This window comes from Homo sapiens, chromosome 20, assembly GCF_000001405.40.
Source record: "Homo sapiens chromosome 20, GRCh38.p14 Primary Assembly".
Taxonomy (NCBI): domain Eukaryota; kingdom Metazoa; phylum Chordata; class Mammalia; order Primates; family Hominidae; genus Homo; species Homo sapiens.
This window is the reverse complement of record NC_000020.11, coordinates 13,090,387-13,111,541: the sequence shown is the minus strand read 5'-3', so window position 1 is coordinate 13,111,541 and position 21,155 is coordinate 13,090,387. Positions and strand designations below refer to the sequence as shown.

The following is a 21,155-nucleotide window of genomic DNA, read 5'->3' as shown; positions in this document are numbered from 1 at the left end:
ATACCAGAACAGGTTTTCTCAGCCTTAGCACTATCGACATTTTGAGCTAGATAACTCTGTGTTGTAGGGGCTGTCCCATGCATCGTAGGATGCTTGGCAGCATCCCTGGCCTCTGTCCACCATATGCCAGTCACACACTACTGCAGTTATAATGACTGAAAATCGCCAAATGTGCCTAGGCTGGGGCAAGGACAAGCTCACCCTGGAGAACTACTATGTCTAGAGTGCTCCCAAAGACTTCATCAACAGTACATACTCTCTGGGCTGGCTGGAGGAGGTAATGGTAGGTGATGCAGAAAGTGAGCTGGTAGAAACTGGAAATGCAAACTTTGCATTTCCCACAGTAGGACTGGGAACATCCAGAACCCTAACCATGGGGGCAGAAGTACTGGAGTTAAAAATGTTAAAAATAAAATGAAACCAAGCTTCTTATTATTATTATTTTAGAGTTGGGAGAATTCACTTTTTTTTTCTTAAAAGGAATAAAGGCACACTTCTGCTGCTGCTCATTATCCACTCATGCAGCAGAAAAAATGTGCACTCAGGGACTAATGAGATTAGCGGGCTGAAAGAAATCCTATGTCTATCCTCAAGTCTCCTTTGTAGCCACACTCCTCCTTGTCTTAAAGTTGAACAGCCTTCACTTCCTTCCTTTTAATATTTTTCACTTTTCTATCATTATAGGAGATATCCCCCTCAATTTGCCTAACGTCAGGATTGTTTGAGAATTGATTCAGGATTGGGCACTCTGAAATAATGTCTCCTTGGCTTATGGACTAGACATCAGCCCATTCCTACCCGCTGGCTCTGGAACAAGAATTGCACCCCAGGTTACTCCTACCTTGGGGAAAACAGGCAGATCTTTTGTATTGATGGCAATCACTAACAAAGTTCAGCAAGCAGCTGGGGGTTGGGCGTGCTGTCCAGGTAGGGGCATCCGGGCCACCCATCAACAATTTCTACCAGTCATAAAGGCAAGGAGTGTTTTGATCTTGAATAACCCAGCTGCGAAACGCCTTTGAAACTCTGGGGCAGTCAAAGGTAGTGGAAAGATCAACTCAAGTTAGCAATGCCTTGAGAGGATATTTCTGAGGAAGCCTTCACAAGCCGGCCAGCCTCCAAGCTGCTGTGCCATATATAGAGTCATCAAAAAGACAGATAACCCACGTCTGACAGCTCCCATTGGTGGCTCTGTCTCAGGTCCCTGTGTCATATAACCAATTCTAAGTCATTTCTCTGTTTAGCTAGGAAAGGTGAGCCTTTCCGCACTGGTCAGCTTGCTGCAGGCCTCCGAGTCGTAAAATGTGTCCTGTTATTTACATACCTGTAGACACCCTCCACCAGGATGAGAATCTTTTTCCAAGCTCTGCGGGTTCGAGGCTGGCCATAGATGACAGCATCTCTCAGGAGCTTCTCTAGGCTTTGTGTGTCTTTAAATAATACCAAAAAAAAAAATTGAGTCATGAAAGGGTTTACTTTTCCTTTTCCACTTTCTTTTTCCAGATGTTTTATGTTCACACTCAGACCTAAACTTTCAGAGAACAAATTCAGAATCAGAGAACCCTTAGGGAGAGAGAGACAGAGGTCTATTTTTCAGTAGAACTTAACTCTGACAAGACAAATAGTTGGATTTGTACAAGTAGGCAGAGTAAACTCTCACCAGTGGGGCATGGTTTCCTAGGCTCTTAAAGGCTCTCCCCGCCTGCCTTAGAGAGATTGAAATTCTACGTTAAATGCATCTCTTAGGTCTAAGCTTTGTTGCAGGCTGAAATGAACTCTGAGAGACATAATTAATACCACTCATCAATCGTGTAGACATGAGCATGTTAGAGTTTAGCTGAGTTTGCACGGATCTCACTTCCTACACTTTGAGCCTTGATTTCTGACATCCCCCAGTCTTAGAAGTTTCAAAACTTTAAAGCAGTGGGACAATTAAGCCTCTTTTTCAAAATATTTGGGGATCTCTGAACACAATAATAGCTCACAGTTATTGAGCCCTATCTGTGTGCCAGGCACCCTTCTAAGCTCAGTTTTTGTCATACCTCATTTAATCCTCATAAGAACCATCTGGAGGAAGTACTAGTAGCATTTCCATTCTGTGGTTCAGGAAACTGAGACACAGAGGAGTTGAGTAAACTGCCTGAGGTCTATCATAAGCAACAGAATCAGGATTTGAACCCATGTAGTCTGTACTGTAATCCACATTTGTAACACTACCCTTTGCTGCCTTATGTGAAAGCCATTGTCCCTTCTTCTCAAATGAAATGGTGATGTAGAACAAGGGAGGATGAATGTCTGGCAGAATAATCTTGTTAACTTCTAATGTCAAATATAATCAATAGTGACAATTCATTTATCTGCTATCAGAGGTTGATGACTGGGCTTGGGTTGAGAGGTCATTTAGAAGAACTTGCCTACCAACCTAGCTGTTTGGTATATATGTACATGTGTGTGTATTATTTTGTTTTTAACATTTAAGCCTAGCAAGAAAAAAATGGCCGAGGTTTATGGGCATATTTTTTAGACTGATTATATTTGTACTGTGTATTTTTTGCATTTCCTAAGCTTTCCCTTTTTTGAGAAGATGAAACTGAAATACTTAGGTCCAGAATCCAATCTTAATTTTAAAAGATGGAGATGCTACTTAACTGCTGGCTTGACTGTTATGCAATGTTCACCAGGCATTAGAAACACCATTTAAAATGCTCACAAAAGGTGACATCTAGCAAAGCTAAATCTTTGAGGTCAGGAGTTCGGGACCAACATGGTGAAACCCAGTCTCTACTAAAAATACAAAAAATTAAGTGGGTATGGTGGTAGGCACCTCTAATCCCAGCTACTTGGGAGGCTGAGACAGGAGAATTGCTTGAACCCAGGAGACGGATGTTGCAGTGAGCCGAGATCACACCACTGCACTTCAGCCTGGGTGACAGAACGAGACTCTGTCTCAAAGTGAAAAAAAAAGATAAATCTAAAGCTGCATAGTCAGTACTGGTTTTGACCACTACAGACAAAGCTCTCAAGAAGCGTATGTGCATTGGCTTATCACTCACTGGTCTAGGCTCAAATTAGCTGCAGTTCTTGGTCTCAATGGAGAGCCCTTCAACTTTGTCTTTGAGTCTCCAGTCTGTGCTCAGATCTGTTTTAGGGCTTCCCCCAAAGCTGAGTGAATGCATTAGTGGCTGCATTAACTTTTCCACACTGCAACTCTGCCACATTCAATGAGGCCACAAGATAGTTCTTTGAAATAGAGTTGTGAATATATTTGTGTGTGTGTGTTTCTTTTTAATTATCAAGTACATTTAAGCAAACCACATTTAAATAAAGGTGACTTCCTATGACTTGGAGTGGGATAGGACAAGTCAGAATTTGATAGTGCAATATCAGAACCTCATCTCTGAGAGGCCCCTGTTAGCATGGCACCTTCCAAGCTGTCCTCAGCATCCACCCACTAGAGACTGGGTATCGGGTCCTGAAATTCAGAAAAAGCATGTGACATGAATAAGATGCTGCATACTAGCAAGATCTCTTGGAAATCCAAACAGTAGTGTTAATACACTATTTGACTTCCTTTAACATCCTTAAGAAAACATCACATAAATAATGAAAAAATAAAGGAAATATATAATGAAATAATGAAGAATTAAGGGAATAATTCTTTATTCAAATATATAAAGCCTTAGGTATTAGATATAGTATGCTACCTGTATGCTACCAATAATATCTGGCATGTTATCAGAACCAACAGATACAAAAAAAAAAAAAAGGTCATTTTCCTTTCCTTTCTTTAATCACTAGCCAGAAACTAACTCTTTAGGTGCTTTGTCAGTTTAAATGTGGAATTAATCAATTTCACCAAGATCGTAAGGACCCGTGAAAGAAGAATTGGAAGAATGGTGGATCTTTGTTTTATTTCATGCCACTTTCCTTTTCTTTGTTTTTTTCTCTTTTTATCTGCAAAACAGGCCTCCTGATATCCTGGCATCACTATTGTGTTCTTTTCACATAATATTACCTAATTGACAAATTTACAGAGCTTTCTTCAGTTCTTGTTCTACTTGACCGTGGGCAGCATTTGACACAATTCAACACACACTTATCTTTTAAGCTTCTTCCCTCTGCCATCTGGACACCATTTTTCATTAGTTTTTCTTATTCCTTTTCCCACTATTTCTAGTATTCTTTGTGAGCACTATTTCCTCTTTTAACCCATTTTCCTTTTATGTTTTCTCCTTGACTTTTTTTTCTATTTTCTCATTAATCTTCCAGTGGTTCTCAACCTTCAGGATGAATAGAAATAATCATCTGGGTAACCAGTTAAAATGCAGATTCTCGAAATTTCTACTCAGAGATTTTGAATCAGTTGGTGTGGGTCAGGGCCCAGACGTTTGTATGCTCAGTATCCCTGGGGTCTGGAACCCATAACGCAAAGCGAGACCTCTACTTTGATCGATATAATGTTTTTCTTACCATTTTTTAGACAAATATGGGAACCTCAAACCCATTTCCAAGATGGAACTTGCTGCAGACTACATTACTGGCCCATTTTCCACCTCATTTGAGTTCCTTCTTCTGTGACTTTGCAGTCCTTTCCTCTCACCAGTGGAGAACGTTTCCCTGCCCCTTGGCTTGGGTTCAGCCAAGTGACTTGCTTTGGCTAACGGAATACAGAGAAGAGACAGTTTGCTAGTTCCAAACCTAGATCTGAAGAGGTCTTATGCATTTCTACTCTTTCTCTTGTGCTTCTGCTAGTGACAGGAAAAGAAAATGCCCAGGCTAGCCCCCTGGTCTCAGGTTGGCCCTGGGAGAGGATTAATGGCACGTAGGGCACGGTTACCCCAGCTCACCTGCAGCCTCCAGTGAGAAATACTTGCTGATTATTATTGGCAACTGAGGTTTGTTCCAGTAATAGTTGCCTAATACAATCTCGAATGGCCCTTCCTGATATAGCCTCTGCCTGTCTTTCTGACATAGTTTGTCAACATCCCCCAACACACAGCCTCCTGATTCTCCTCCATGCTTTTTTTCCTCTTGTCTGTCTGGAGAATGCTCACTCATCACTGAAGTCTTAACCCAAACTCTTCTCGTCAATAATACAGAACAGAGTTAAGGGCTTCCTCCTTGGTGTCCCTCCCGACTTGTCTATTATTTTTTAAGCACTCATCGCGATGTTCGTTTTTTGCTTTCATGTCTCTCTTCCATGAAGTCAGGGACCTCGTCCTCATCCTTCTCGCCCTAGTCTTAGTACACAGTACTAGGCTCAATCATTACCTAATAATTGCATCAATGTTCTTTTCCTGGAGAAAGAACGTAGACTAGGAGACAGGCAAGGAAATGCCACTTGTGGATAGAAATAAGAATTATTAGAAAAGATAAATATCTCCTACCTGCAATATATTTTCAAAAATTGATGGTATCTTTTGTTTTGTTTTAAAACGAGCAGATAGATATTTTTTGAACGTTCCCAAGAGCGTGTTTTAGCGTACATTATTAACCACTAGATGGCAGCCAAGGAAACAAAAAGCGGCTTTCTTGTTTTGAAATTTTCAGTTAATAAACTTTCACCTATTTGGGTATCTTCTTTTCACTTTTGCTTTAGGCAGAGTTCCTAAAATATTGAAGAAAACCTTGCGACTTGGAGAACCAGTCTTCCTTTCCTATAATCTTTTATTTATTATGTCTATAATATTTTATACTATTATTCATCTTCTATAACCAAATCCTCTGAATGGAATAAAGAGATGGTGAATAAAAGCATTCCTGTTAAGAATGTTTTCCCTTTGGGACTTGGAATTTATAAGTTTTTGTGCAGAAATGATAGATGGTAAATGTGGCTCCGACGACACTGGAATAAAAACTAAACCCAAGTGAACTAAATTAGTAGTCATTTTAAAATGAATATTCTAAGATTTGGAAAAAATATGTAAATTCAGAGGCCACTGTGTTGTTTTTGCACCAAAAAGGTCACATAAACACGATGGATTAATCCAGAATTTTAAAATGAACACCACGAGTCCTAAAGAGAAGCTTTTCTCCATTTTTAAAAATAACACGCAAGACATGAAAACAAGACTTTCGGTGGCCGCGCTGTGTTTTATACATTTTGCGGAGGGAAGCAAGAGGAATCCCAGTCTTTTCCAAGTCAGGGACTTCGTTGTGTTTGACTTGAATGGAGATAGCCATGGGAGTGGCTTTTGGTGGAGTTCACAGCCCCCCAGGGTCAACACACCAGGATTCTTGAGCAGAAGGAAAATCAATTAGCCATTTTTTTTTTCCTCCTGCAGGGGATGAACTCTCCGACCTCTTAGAATCACAGAAGCTACACAGGAAAAGGGAAGACTGCGCTCGGCCTGGATTCTGGCCCCACCTTAGCCCCTGGCATGTTCCTCTCTGGTTCTCTGTCGTTCTACAAGGCTACAGTGCGTGGGTTACAAACCCGCAGATTTAAGGGATTGTGATTTATGTTCTGTAGGCCTTATGGGATTCTACCGTTTCAGCAAGCTGCATGCTTACATCTGCAAGGGATTTTTTTTAAAATAATGATGCTTATTAAGGCACTTACACTTGCATTATGTTAATCCCCATGACACCTCTGAGAAGTAGGGAAGGACTGTTAGGTTTTTGTTTTTTGCAGATGAAAAAAACAATGCCAGAAGTTTTGTTAAAAAAAGTTCCCCAAACAAAAGCCCTCCAAACAAACCTGTTCTTGTTGATTTAATAAGAAAATTCTGAGATACGGAAATTAAAATAAAAGTATAATTTTGACACCATCTAGGCACACACACACGGTGCTATGGTACAGTGTGGTTCTTGAGTCACAATGACACACCACGGACTTAAAATGACCACTATTTGAGCATTAATAATGCCTTGGTGTTACTCAGCACAAAATTTGACTCACTAAGGAGGTTTCTTTTGGTTTGTAGAGGACTAAAAGGATTGAGCTGGTTTGGTGGTGTATTAGTCCATTTTCACGCTACTGATAAAGACATACCTGAGACTGGGTAATTTATAAAGAAAATGAGGTTTAATGGACTTACAGCTCCACGTGGCTGGGGAAGCCTCACAATCATGGCGGAAGGGGAAAGGCACATCTTACGTGATGGCAGACGAGAGAGTGGGAGCCAAGTGAAAGGGGAAAACCTTTATAACACCATTAGATCTCGTGAGACTTATTCACTACCACGAGAACAGTATAGGGGGAACCGCCCCCATAATTCAATTATCTCCCACTGGGTCCCTCTCACAACACATGGGAATTATGGGAGCTACAATTCAAGATGAGATTTGGGTGGGGACACAGCCAAACCCTATCAGATGGTTATAAATATCTAGCTATAAGAAATGAAAATGTGGAGACCATGTTCTGGTGCCTAGTGCAAAACAGTCCTAGCCTTTTGCCAGCATAGTTAACTGGATTACTGAATTACTAAATACTTGGAATAATCCAACTATGTGTCCAAAGCTACAATCAGGCTTAGGTGACAAATGCTCTTAGCCAGCCTGAGCCTGTGCCTGTTCTTACATTCAAAACCCTAATAATAGCAAGCCTCCTGGATCTGGAAAAGCTGAAGATGCAGTTTTGTGAAAAGAAAGCACAAGGCAGCAAGGGACCCAGAATCTTCCAAGAAGGTAGGGCATAGTTCATAGTGTGTCTTCCGGAAGAAAAAACCCAGACATTTAGCTTTCCTCTTATTTCACTGTCAAATGGCAACACTGTTGCATACATCAGGGCTTCCTCCTTTCTCTTCTCTTGTGCAGCTGTGGGTTTTCCAAAGGCCTAGATCTACTGTGAGATCTTCACTCACTGCCCATTTCTCAGTGCCCCTGCTCCCTCTCCTATGGATCCAGGAATGCGAGATTGGGGCTGAAACTCAGCCTCCACTTTCCATATGCTCCTGGTGTGGTTGGTGGTTTATTCTTTGTCATCCATGACCCCACAAAAACTACTTTCATCTGCATTTAGAGACACCCTTTGGTTCCCTACTCTCTGGGTTGCTCAGCAAAAATATTTTTGTGTCTGCCTATCAGCGGCACTCATATTTTGTAAATGAAAAGATGGATGGATGATGAATGAATGTCACTTTTTACTGTTCCTAGTCCCTTACCCCCCATCTCTATATCCACTCCTCTTATTCCTTTGGACATGCAGTTTCATCCTTCAAGATTCAGCCCAAATGTGAAATAGTAAGTAGCGGGTATTTAAATAGCTATGAATGATGACAAAGAAATTATTCTTACTTTTAAGATGGTGGTGGGGAGGACTGTCCCCCTTTTTTAGCCTTTCGGCGGAAACAAAATCACAATGACCAATTTTGTCAAGCAAAACAATTATTTTTTGAAAGTCACATTTATGGGGTCTGTTCTCCATGAGATCACAGAGGGCATTTTTGACTGAAAATCTGGTGCCTTTAAGTTTTATAAAGCAGATTGTGCAAGGACTTTGGCTCAGGTTTTCTGGATGGCTCTTTAAACATGTGGATAGATGTCGCACAGCCTTAGGCAGTTGAAAGAAGCAAAGGGATCTTCTTGGAAGAGTGCAAAAGACAGCTGAGAGCAGGTGACCTGGGTTGGGCTTATGGATGAGGCAGGTGCTAGGGACAGGGCCTGTTTACCCTGCAGGGGGAGGGGGTAATTGCAGCAACTTTTGACTCTGTAGGCATGAGATGAAGGACAGGCAGAACCTAGAAACCAGGGACAGGGTGTCCAATAGGCTTGGGCTCTGGGCTTGATGTAATGCATAGGATTCTGATCCTCAGGAAGGAGATTGTGGAATGAGACAAAGTACTGAGATGGGATCTCTAAATGAGGGGGCTCAATGCACCAAGGTGAGACATGATTCAGGGAACAGTGTAGGAGCCCAGTGGTTAGGATTCTCAGTCAGGTGGGTGCTGGCAGCATCTACCTAACCAAAACTGCCTTGGCCCTGGGAGAGGTGTACGGGAGATGGAGGCTACCAAGTATTACATTCATCACTCTGCCATCCAGGGGCAAACAGAGGGTAGAAAAGGCCAGGAAAGGAGGTAGCGTGTCATGCTTAAAAACGGAGACTCTGGAGTCAGACTTCCTAGGTTTACCAGCTCTGACTCTTACTAGCTCTGTGTATCTAAGTCACTTCACCACTTTATAGATGTTTCTTCTTCATCTGTCAAAAAGGAGATAAGAGTAGCAGGTGATTCATTTTGTAGTTATGAGGCTAAAATGAGTTGGTGAATGTAAATGGCTCATTACAATGAAGGCTCAATACCTTTTAATTATCATTAAAAGATAGGGAGGCAATTGCTGGCTTTATTAAGCAACCTAGTTTAGAAATCCAAGTTGGACATTGAAATATAAAAGATCATGGCTTGCAAAGTAGTCTAAGCCATGTTTACGGGTTTAACTTTTTACTTAAACAACCTCTCGAGCCCTTGTTCTGCAGACTAGGTAGTGCTCAGAGTTTTCTGGCAAACACTGGCCTTCTTTTTCTTCCTCCTCTTGGTCTTTAGTAGGCAGAGTTTTGGTTCTTCCTTTCCACTTTTTCTTTTAAACTACTCCAAATTCTTGACCTGCCTGGACCTCTGACCTCATGACAACTCTCTAAGCTGAAGAAACAGCTTTTCTCCGAGGCTAGCTTAAGAAAGTCTTAGTGACTCACTTGAGGACCGAGGTTGCCTGCAGTCTCGCTGCTCTGAGTGTGGTTCTGCATGACAGCAGCAGCAGCAGTAGCAGCAGCGGCACCCAGGAGCTTGTCAGAATGCAGGATCTCAGGCCCCCACCCAGACCTGCTCACTCAGAGTCTGCATTTTAACAAGAGCCCCCAAGTACCTCGTGTGCATATGAAAGCCTGAGAAATATTGGGGAAAAATAATTTCATTATTTGCTCATTTCCTCAAAATGCACCAGAAACACCATGGAGAACAAATGTGTTGGTTCCTGGTTGCAGCTGACTCTGTAGCTGAGGCCGTGAAATGGCTGGAGAATGGCTGGATAGCACAAGGGCAGCCTGAGGGTTGGCTATGTCCCTGAAGCTGCCCACAGTAGAAAATGCAAAGAGATCTTTTTAATACTCAGCGAGCAAGAATGCAGAGGCCAAACTTCAGCATTCTGAATTGAAATTGAGGCTACTAACAGGATAGGGCTCCATTAGCCATCACACTGGACTGAGTTTTACACAAGGGACCATAGCTTTCTGACTCCTACATATGGCCTGGCAGCAAATAGCTGGACTCAGCTAGTGGTTAAGAGTGTTAACAAGTGCTGTGCACATCCTGCCTATACCCTCTCAGCCCAGCTTCTTCATGCAAACACAGGCCATTCTTTGCCTAAGAGCTCTTTTTCTGGCTGTGGGAACATAGCCTGATTAGGGAGCAGCCTTCAATCAGTCACAAATGGGAATTTGTGGGTAAATACTTCAGCTCCCTCAGCCCACAGGTAGGGATAACAGTGAGTTATCTATCCTGGCACCCAGAGTTTCCTAGTAGAATCGAGGTCCTGTTGTCCACTCTGGTCACTTGCTTGACAATGCACCATGTTGGCTGCCTTCCTGTGCCCTGGTCACCTACTGGTGCTTCCTGTGCCCTGCTCACCTACTGGTGCTTCCTGGCATCACTTTCTGAATAAGTGACTTGTGATTACATCCGTGTCTCAAGGTCTGCTGCTGGGGGAAGCAAACCAAGACAAAAGCAACAGACTTGGGTCTGCATTTTGACCCCTGTGATTTATCATTTGCCTGACCTTAGGCAGGTCATATAATCACTTTGAGGATTAGTTTTCTCTTTAATAAAATGAGGATAATGAAAAGAACTCTGTATCTGGGTTGCTGTTAAAATTAAATGAACCAGTTAGCTAAGAACTTAATACCAGTGAAAGCTGAATAAATGATAGAGTAGTTATGACTCAGCTATTATCCACATGTACTATTATAGAAGAACTAATCTATGGTGATAAAAGATTCTGGTACTCAGGTGTTTTTTTTGTTGTTGTTGTTATTGTTTAAGAAATGAGGTCTTGCTATGTTGCCCAGGCTGGTCTTGAACTCCTGGCCTTAAGTGAGCCTTTCATCTTAGCTAACCGAGTAGTTGGGCTTACAGATATGAGCCACCAGGCCTGGCTCTAGTACCCAGTTTTGAATTTAGCATCACTAAAAATGCACTTCTGAGTCTTTTCCTGTTTTTTTAGGAAATAGACTTTCGGTGTTCTGATTTTGCTCCCTTGCAGAACTTTCCTTCTATTTAGTCTTCTCAGGTATTCATTCTGGCTTTGTGGGAAATGGAGAGAGAATAATAATGAATAGCTTTGGAGTTAATGGTCAAGCCTATTTACACAGGCTTAAAAGTTTATTATGATGGTCTGAGTAGGTTTAAGTATATCTTAGGTATTTTTTCCTACAGAGAATTAAAAAATCCAAGGGCCCAGAATTCTGATTCATTTATAGTTGGCTTAAATAACAAAGGATGTCCACTTCCATTGGTACTGCTAAAAAATAGAACCTCCTCCTCTCCAACAGGCAGAAGAGTATTGTTAAGGTGTAAGGAGAGGACATGAAGCAGAGGACAGTCTGTGAGAGCAGAACAAGTTTAGAGTTGCATGAAATTCCACAATCCCATTGTTTAAGAATGCTCTGGTGCAGGTGGCCATTCTTAAAACCTGTCTCACAAGTTATTAGCTTCTATCTGGACTGGTTGTGTGTGTCATGCACATACAGTTTCTGCAGATCCTAAACAATCCCTGTATTATCAGTCCAATCTGTGTGGATGCATATGAAGGATTAAGACATCACTGCATACTAAAGCAGTTAGTATTATCTTGGGAATAGCAGAGCAAGAAACAGAGCCAGCAGCATCTGATGCTGTACATATTATAACTCCATTCAGTTCTTTCCCTGTCCTTATACTTCTTGCTTCCCTCACCTCTCAAGAAAGAAGTCATTCAGAGGACCCTGGAAATAACTGCTCTCAAGGGGTCTGTTTTTGTGATGTAAATACAACAGCAGCAGAATATGCTCGTGTTTCAAAGTTGTATTAAACATGTGGGTGTGTGGGAACAAGGGTTCTGTGCACCTGTGAATGAAAGCCTAGTGGTTTCCTATTGCTGCTGTAAGAAGTTAGAATACACTTAGTGACTTTAAGACAACACAAACTTATCTTACAGTTCTAGAGGTCAGAAGTCTGAAATGGGTTCGACTGGGTGAAAATCAAGATATTGGCAGGGCTGTATTTCTGTCTGGAAGCTCTAGGGGAGAATCCATGTCCTTGGTTTTTCCGGCTTCTAGGGAAATGCTTCCTGCATTCCTTAGCTTGTGGTCTTCTTTCATCTTCAAAGCCAGCAAGGGCTCTTTAAGTCTTTCTCACATTGCATTGCCCTGATCCTCACTCTTTTGCCACTCTTTTCCACATTTAACAACCCTATGATTGCACTAGACCTACGTGGATAGTCTCTTTAAGGTTAGCTGTTTTGCGGCCTGAATTCCATCTGCAACCTGAATTCCCTTTGCCAGGCAACATAATGTTTGTAGGTTCTGGGGATGAGGGCATGGACGTCTTTGGAGGGTGAGCATTATTTTTCCTACCAAAGAGAGCAGAAGAGCAACAGCAGCTCAGGCATAATAGACTCCCATGGGTTAGAGGACAGACTCTGACCCTAGCTGCACCCAATTCTCAATTAGTTGGGAAGGGCAGTATTTACCCAGATAGCTCCAGGCTTCACTATTAATCAGTTGTATGATCTTGGACAAGTTGCTTAATAACTCTAAGCCTGAATCTTCTCATTTGTAAAGCAGTTCCTACCTCATGGAATTCTTCACAGGGCTAAATAAATTAGAGAAGGCCATTACCTCAGCATCTGGCACAGAGGACTTTCTCAATAAATGTTAGTTGCTAGTCTAAATAACAACAGCTAACATTCATTGTTAGGATAGAGATAGTAACTATTATCTATTTTTCATGAGTACAAAGGGAGGGCATGAAGAATAAGTTACTGAATGTTTTGAGAGCTTTGTAAAATTGGGAGATAAAATTTAACCCTTAAATTGTAATTTCAGCAAAAAGTTAAGAATTTAAGGGAAAATTTTATTGGAAATAATTTGAAACGTAATAGAAAAATTCCAAGAATAAGAGTACTGCAAAGAACACCCACTTACTTTAACCTAGATTCACCTATTAACACTTTATCCCATTTGCTTAATCATCTCGTCTATGCATATTTATAGCTATGTCTGTCCACCTGTGTTTAAATGTGTGTGTACACACACACACAATTGTTTCCCTGAATTAAGACAAAGTTGCATATATCATGGTCTTTACCCCTAAATAATTCAATGTGTCTTCTTTAAGAATAGGGTATTCTCCCCTTTAAGAATAGGGTATTCTCATACAATTACAGCAGGATTCAGCAAACCTTTTCTATAAAAAAGCCAGATAGTTTTACTTTAGGCTTTGTGGACCACATACAGTCTCTGTTGCGTAGTCTTCTTTTTCTTTATACGACGCTTTAAATATGTAAAAGTGTTCTTAGTTCACAGGTCATAAGTTGTCTACCCCTGGACTATGGTGAAATGATCCACTTCAGTATTTTTAATGTTGATACACTATTCTTATCTAATATTATCTAATTTACCATGCATCTTCCAATTTTTCAAACTGGCCTAGTAATTTCCTTTATGCATTTTCCTGTCTCTTTTGGAATCTAGTCTAGGACCCGCCATTGCACTTGGCTGATACTGTTCTTTCTTATCCTTTAATCTGGGCCATTTCCTCAGCCTTTCACTGTCTCTTATGGTATTGACATGTTTAGAGAATACAATTCCCTTTTTAAAAATAGAACATTCCTAATTTGGGGTTGTCTGGTGACAGGATTCAGTGCTCTAACCTGCATCCCATATAAATGATGTCAAAGGCTTTTTAGGGTATCATATCTGGAGACACACAGGGTCCATCTGCCCCTCACTGATGACTTCCAGGTAATAGCAAATGGAAAAACAACAACAAAACAAAACAACACAAAAACAGAGAATAGAGAAATTCTAAGAGAACACTGCTGTAGAGACAGACGATCTTCAGAATTATTATTTTTTTTTCATCCAGTGCTGTTCAAAGCTTTAACTTAAAGCTTGTGTCTCTGTTTCCATCTCTACTAGACATATGGAGAAGGCAACTAAATGTTTTGAGAAAAACCAGTTTAGCTGGGGAACAGCATGGTAAGAAGCAGAACTCCCAGGTGCCTTTTGTTGCTTTTTGAAGTACATACATTCTTAGCATGATTGTTCAGGTCATGCTGAAAGTCCTGCTGCTCTCTGCATGCTCCAGATTAGTTTTCTGCTTGAAATAATCTTTTCTTCTTCCCTGATTAGAATTATCTTAATCCTTCAGCATCTACTGCAAATGCCATCCATTTTATGCAATTCCCAAGGAGAAATAGACTCTTCATTTTTCCATAATGTTTTCTACTGTCCCTTAGTGACACTGATGACAATGACGAGGGTAATAATAGTAATAACATAGCAGCTACAAATAATTCAGTAGTTCCCATTGCCAGGCATTGTGCTAAGCACTTATATGCCTTTTCCAACCACAGTATTATTTGTGTATCATAATTATCCTCATTTTTGGAATAGAAAAATTGAGATCCAGAAGGTAAAGTAGTGTGTCTAGGACCACAGTTTCACAGTCTAATAAGCTGTAGGATGAGGACACAAATGCATGGGTCAAAGCCTGTACTTTGTTTTAAAATATTGGAGCAATGGTTTTAATTTTATATATGTTGTATGATTATAATAATATTGTTAGCTTAAATTTACTTACAGGGAAACATACAAATATTAAGTGTACAATTCGATGAATTTAAATAAGAATGTAACCATCACCCCATCAAAAGATTGCCCCAGAAAGTTCTTTTATGCCTCTTCTCACCAATTCCCTCCCTCCAAACCAGAGACAAGCATTGTTATAATTTCTATCATCATAGATTAGTTTTGTCTATTTTTGAATTGACTACAAATGAACTCAGACAGTATGTATACACGTTTGTGTCTGGTTTATTTCACTCAAAATAATTAAAATAATTTTTCTTGAGAGTCAGCCATGTTATGTGTAGCAGTAGCTTGTTGCTTTTTTTTTTTAATTGTGGAGTAGTGTTCTATTGTATAAATAAATAATAGTTTTTTCTACTATCCTGTTGGTAGACATTCGGATTGTTTCCAGATTTTGGCTATTATGAATAAAGATGCTACGAACATTCTTGTACAAGACTTTTAATGGACACACACTTTCATTCCTCTTGGGTAAATATCTAGGTATAGAATTTCTGGGTCATAGTAAAGGAGTATGTTTAGCTTTATAAAACCTTGCCAAATAACTTTCCAAAGAAGTTGTGCCATTTTATACTCCACAGGCAATGGGTGAGCATTCTAGTGGTGGCTCCATAGCCTTGCTAACATTTGGTGTTGTCATCTTTTAAATTTTAGCTATTTTAGTGGGTGTGAGAAAGCACCGTAGCCAAAGCCTATACTCTTAACCACTGCTTGATGTCATCATGGCCCTTTTCACTTTATACAGTAACTTGCATGCATATCTACCTTTCCTACTAGATTCCAAGCCCTCAGATAGCTAAGATATTACTTATCACTTTTATAGTCCTTCAAAGGGCTAACATAGTGCCTGAATCAGAATAGATAATAAACACTTAATAAATGTTGGCTTGGAACACATTCTCTGCCAACTTTCGATCAAGAGTGTAAAAGAGTAGAGAGAGGAAGAGTGAGGATAATTAATATGGCAGGTGTCTGGTGATATATCCCAGGGCACACTGGCAAGGTCTGGGGACAGCTTAGATTAAAGGAGGTTCAAAAAATAAGATTCTAGGTCTTATATCTCTCAGTATACATTATAATCATCTGGGGAACTCAGAAAAAAATGCAGGTGTTTTGGCCCCAACCCAGTGATGGTCATCTTGGAGGATTTCTACCCTAAAAGCCTTAAGCTGGAGAATAGGGAATGCTTGGTCAATGATTAATGAAGCTTACGTTTAGTCTCCCAGTTGGTCATTTATATATGTATGTATGCTTACCTACCTATCTATCTATATGACAGATATTTGGACTGAGTTGATCTGAGGTGGGCACAGTCATTGATCTTTTATGGATGTTCCCTAGATGCCACTATTGTGCAGCTAGCATTATGAGCACTGACGCAGTAGAATGGAGTGAAGAAACAAGGGGTTTACATTGATGATGATCATGTTGATCTGTTCCAAAGAGATAACACCCCGACTACGTCTCTCTGGAAGTGAGATTATCACGTTTAACCACATACATAGATGGAACTACAGTTGAATGACTGCCTAGCTATCCCCTTTATCCTTTGCCAAGTAGGCAGAGCCTTTGATCAGCAATCATCTGTCATGCTGAAGAATCAAAGGGCACAACACACTTGTGCTAATACCAAAGGCATTCCTTGTAGTCTCTTAATAAACTTACTTGGAGCCTTGAAAGACGTCTACTCCAAACATGAATTCCCAACACTGCCAAAGATTTGAGTCTAGATGTGACAATCCATGATATTTCAGGCAGAACTGAAAGAATTTAACTTGGCTTATCCAAGTCTAAAGCCGAAATTGAGTGTTTGATGCAAAATGGACAAATGAGGTCAGTGTATTTTGAATGACATTAAGCCAGATGTTATAGCCACCCTATAAGTCTGAGGGGGCCATAGTTTGGCTCTTCTGGAAGGTCTGGTCCTGAACTGCACTCTAACTGTTCATCTTCACATAGCTACTGAAAGCGGCTCAGTAAGGCATAGCCAGACCTCACCCCACTCAGTGAGAGCCATAGATTTTTCATTTGAACAACTCTACGAGTTAGACAAGGGGGTTCACTTGAGAATACTCCCATGCATTTTCTTTCCTCCCCCATGGGACAATTGTTCTTTGGTTTAAGATTGCTGCGAGGTGGGCAGAACAGAATTGAAACAATTCTTCCTCAGTTCTCCGTCAGCCTTCTTCTTGTCACTTCAAACTTTGTTACCTTCTTGGAGGATGGAGGGGAGAGCTAGGAAAGAGGAACAGGGAAAAATGAAGGGGAAGGGAAGGCAGGAGAGAAAGGTGGTAAGGAAGAAAGAGAAAACAAATTTGTGTGTGTACACGTGTGTGCATGTGTGTGAGTGCATGTGTGTGCATGCATGTACACATGCACAGAAAGAAGGGAATTTTCCAACGACAATAACAAATTAGAATCAAAACCTTTCAACCAGGAGGATCCTTACCTATCACAGAGTTCGACACCTCATTTTACAGATGAGGAAAATGAATGCAAGAAAGATGAAAGGATTTATACAAAGTGACACAGTAAGTCAGGAGCAGAGCTGGACGAGAGAACTCAGATGTCCACCACCATCCACCTCCTTCAAAGTGTTTCCTGATAATTTCCATGCTGCCTCATCAAGACCCTAAAAGAAGAAATAGCCTTCTGCCTGCTCCTCACCACCCAGCCACACAAACCAGACCCTGAAAGGACATTTCAATGAAGTCGAATAGATGGTTTTGTTGGGTGGGGATCTGAGCATCTGTGGGTGGGCAAAGTGAAAGGAGGCATTCTTCTAAGGAACAGGCTAATTTTTTACCTGACCTTAACACAAAACTTAAGTCTTCAAACTTTCCCAAGGCAGAGCTGTAGAAAGGGAAGAGTAATAACACTTCTGATAATTAAATGGCAGTCCTGAGAGATCAATCATGTATTTAGAGGCCACATTGCAAAACCACTAACAGTGACATTAATGTGTTTGGGTTACACTTAACAATTTGGATGTTTAATGCATTTCAACCATTTGTTCCAGGTCACCAGAGGTTAACAAGCCAGGAGTGAATATAAACATAATTGTGTTTCATGAGGCTACGTTGTCACCTTGAAGAGCAGAACAAAGCCTCATCAATAATCTTTACTTTCTTCTAGGAGCAATCCAGTACATGTTGAGAAAATACACTGATACTCACTGTTGTGTTTGAAGATTCTTATGGTTGCACCTGAGAGTCGGGCCCCAAGCACAAGCGATGTGTGGTTTAACTCATCACTTAAAATGAGGCATCCCTGTGCAGAAAACAAGCACACAAAACACAAGCCAATAAATAAAACCAAGGAAAAACAACTTGTGGGGACAGGAAGACACTCTAAAACCTATAACACAATTTCTAAAACTCACTTTAATTTTAAAAGGCCAAGAGTTTAACCTGGTGTCTATGTGGACAAAATCATGTATAGCAGTTAGCTGATGGAGATGGGAATTGTTTTAAGAGATTACATGTTCACTGCGACATTTGCATATAGTTTTCAGTAGAGAAGTTCATCCAAGATCCTTGTTAAGCACCAGGTAGAGCCTAAAGTGTTGATCTCTGACAGGAAGACTGGTAGATTTTTGGGTGGGTTATGAACTTGTAGGGGCACTTCCATGAGAGATTATTTGGAACAGTTTTAGTTATTCTTCCTGAAAGGCAAGGGTCTTTTGTGCAGGACAATTCAAGCTCTTACTTCTGATTCTTATTTTCCACTGTATTAACATCCCATGTATGCAAAAACTTCAGTTTTACAGTCAAAAACTTTGAATTTGGAGAAGTATGGATGGCAATTCAGTCTGAGGTATGTGGATAAAGTCAGCCTAACTTACTGCTTGTAAATTACCCTTTGTAAAAGTATTCTTCTTTTTAAACTAAACATTTCTAAATTGTAAAACTTCTTAAGCATACCAAAAATGCAGGCAAATTATGGTGGACCTTTGTCTTTTGTGGTCTTCCAGAATCTTTGAATACTCCATTATATTTCTGTAGTTTCACATACAGCATGCTTTGAGTTTTTTTGAGGCAAAAGCCACAAAAATTCCCATATATTTGTACTCTAGATATATGCATATTTGTAATTTTTCTGGCGGAACATTTAGGAGTTATCTATAAGCCTCTACCTCACCTTCCCTAAGAACAGGACATTCTCCTATAAAAAATCACAATTCAGTGATCACATCCAAGAAGTTCAATGCTTCTACAATACTATCATTTGATAGACAGTTCAAATTTAAATTTCCCCAACTTTTCTAATGATGTCTTAAGCTTTTTATAGACATTATCATTCGTTTGATGTTGTTTGGTGCAAAATCCAGTCTAAGACCATACATTGCATGTAGTTGTGATGAGACACATTTTCAAAGGCATAAATTTGATTAATGTACTTGCTTACTTGCAATGAACCAGCCAACTTCCCATTTTTTTCTGAGGAACAATTTCAAACACCAGCATGATTGTCATTACATGGCTCATTGCCATTTGGCACCTGCTTTCATCTCTGGTCTTTTCTTTGACCACCATTCCATATTCTAGTTCCTCCAAACCTATGTATTTTACACATGCTGTTCCCTCTTCGTGTCCTAAATAATTCAACTTATTTATCTGTTAAAATTCTGTTCTCCTCTCACCACTTTTGCACAGACATTGCAGACTTTCTCAGGAAGGGTTTTGGGCAGCTCTTTGTCCTTCCTCGTATATGGGCATGCCTTTTCTATGGTATTTGTCCTATTTTATTCAGCATATTGTTTCCCCCATTAGACTCTAAACTACATAAATTTAAAATACATAGGTCTTGTTCATCTTTGTATGTCTTGTATCTTCCCTTATATGAGGACATAGTAGGTTCTCAATAATTGGTTTATTGAATGAAAAAATAAATGGGTAATGTAGGACAAATATTTTGTCCAAATAAATGCTTAATAAATATTAGCTCTGAGAAGTTGCAGATGGGAACTCAGGAGCCCAAAATTATGACTGCTTTGTTAAACTGTCATTGAAGATGAATTCTGACCCATGTCTAGGGCTGCAATTATATAATCAGCAATATCATGACAAGATTTGCTGGACTAAGCTGGCATACTTATTCAAAAATACCAATATCCAATCAGTTTCTCCTACGAAAAGAACCTTCTCAGCCATACTTCTTCTTTTTTTCTTTTTTTTTTTTTGAGACAGAGTCTCACTCTGTCACCAGGCTAGAGTGCAGTGGCCCGATCTCGGCTCATTGCAACCTCCACTTCCTGGGTTCAAGCAATTCTCCTGCCTTAGCCTCCCAAGTAGCTGGGACTACAGGTGCGTGCCACCATGCCCAGGTAACTTTTTTATTTTTAGTAGAGACGGGGTTTCACTATGTTGGCCAGGATGATCTAGGTCTCTTGACCTCGTGATCCGCCCGCCTTGGGCTCCCAAAGTGCTAGGATTACAGGCGTGAACCACCGTGCCCATCTCAGCCATACTTCTAACAAGGACCTACTCAGAGTTACAGTTCTTAGGAGTAATACAGTAGAAGACAATTAGGTTAACAATTCTCACCTTTCCAACTAATGCTGGGATATTCATTGAGTTAGTTGCGAATCCCATCCCAAAGACCATAGCTGCTTCCACATTCAGGAACTTAGCCACAAGGTCCTCCAACTCCTTGTGCTTATCCAAGGTGCCTGCACATAAAATTACATGAGAAGTGAGCCTTCTCTTTTCAACAAGGCCAAGATTGAAAACTCAAATTCCAGTACGTACACATCACCAAAAGACCTATACAAGAGTGCTTGTAGCAGGAAGATTTGCCATTGCCCTAATCTAGAAACAGCCCAAATATTCAACTATTGTAGAATGGAAAAATACAATGTGGGGTATTTATACAGTGGAATTCAATACAGCAATGAGAAAGAATGAACTACTGCTCCACACAACATTGTGGATAAATCTCACAAATCTGTTGTTGAGTGAAAAAAGTCAGACATCTAAAAAAGTACAGGCTGTATCATTTCGTTTACATAAAATATGCAACCAGACAAAACAGATCTGCAGTGTTAGAAGTCAGGATAGTAGTTACTTTTGTTAGGAGCATGAGGATGGTTTTTAGATTCTCTGAATGTTCTATTTCTGCATTTGTTACATAGGTATGTTTGCTTTGTGGAGATCCATTGAGCTGTATACCTATGACTGGTGCACTTTTCACCATGCTGTAAATGAAATATAATTTACAAAAAAACCCCACAATTCTTCTCTCTTTTTACTCTACATCTCACAAGTAATTAATTAAATTATAACCCCATCAGAGTTTTCCCACACCTAAATGCAAAACAGATCCCATGATTTCCATAGATACCAATAAAACTAGTTATAATTTATTG

At 40.3% G+C, this 21,155-nt stretch overlaps 2 protein-coding genes across 7 annotated transcripts in view; one reads left to right on the top strand and one right to left on the bottom strand.

Annotated features, from left to right (window-relative positions):
* Window positions 1–6,770, top strand: part of TASP1 (taspase 1) — a 534,161-nt gene extending 527,391 nt beyond the window's left edge. The window contains exon 15 of the transcript XR_001754319.3: window positions 6,285–6,770. The gene's annotated coding sequence lies outside the window, so the exon portion shown is untranslated. The remainder of the gene's footprint in view (window positions 1–6,284) is intronic.
* SPTLC3 (serine palmitoyltransferase long chain base subunit 3) overlaps window positions 1–21,155 on the bottom strand; it is a 160,132-nt gene that overhangs the window by 57,562 nt on the left and 81,415 nt on the right. For all 6 annotated transcript variants that reach the window (NM_018327.4, NM_001349945.2, XM_011529279.2 and 3 more), the window contains 3 exons: window positions 20,335–20,459; window positions 17,965–18,058; window positions 1,325–1,430 (listed from right to left, as the gene is read on the bottom strand). In NM_018327.4, coding sequence (NP_060797.2) covers window positions 1,325–1,430; window positions 17,965–18,058; window positions 20,335–20,459 — 325 coding nt within the window. The remainder of the gene's footprint in view (window positions 1–1,324; window positions 1,431–17,964; window positions 18,059–20,334; window positions 20,460–21,155) is intronic.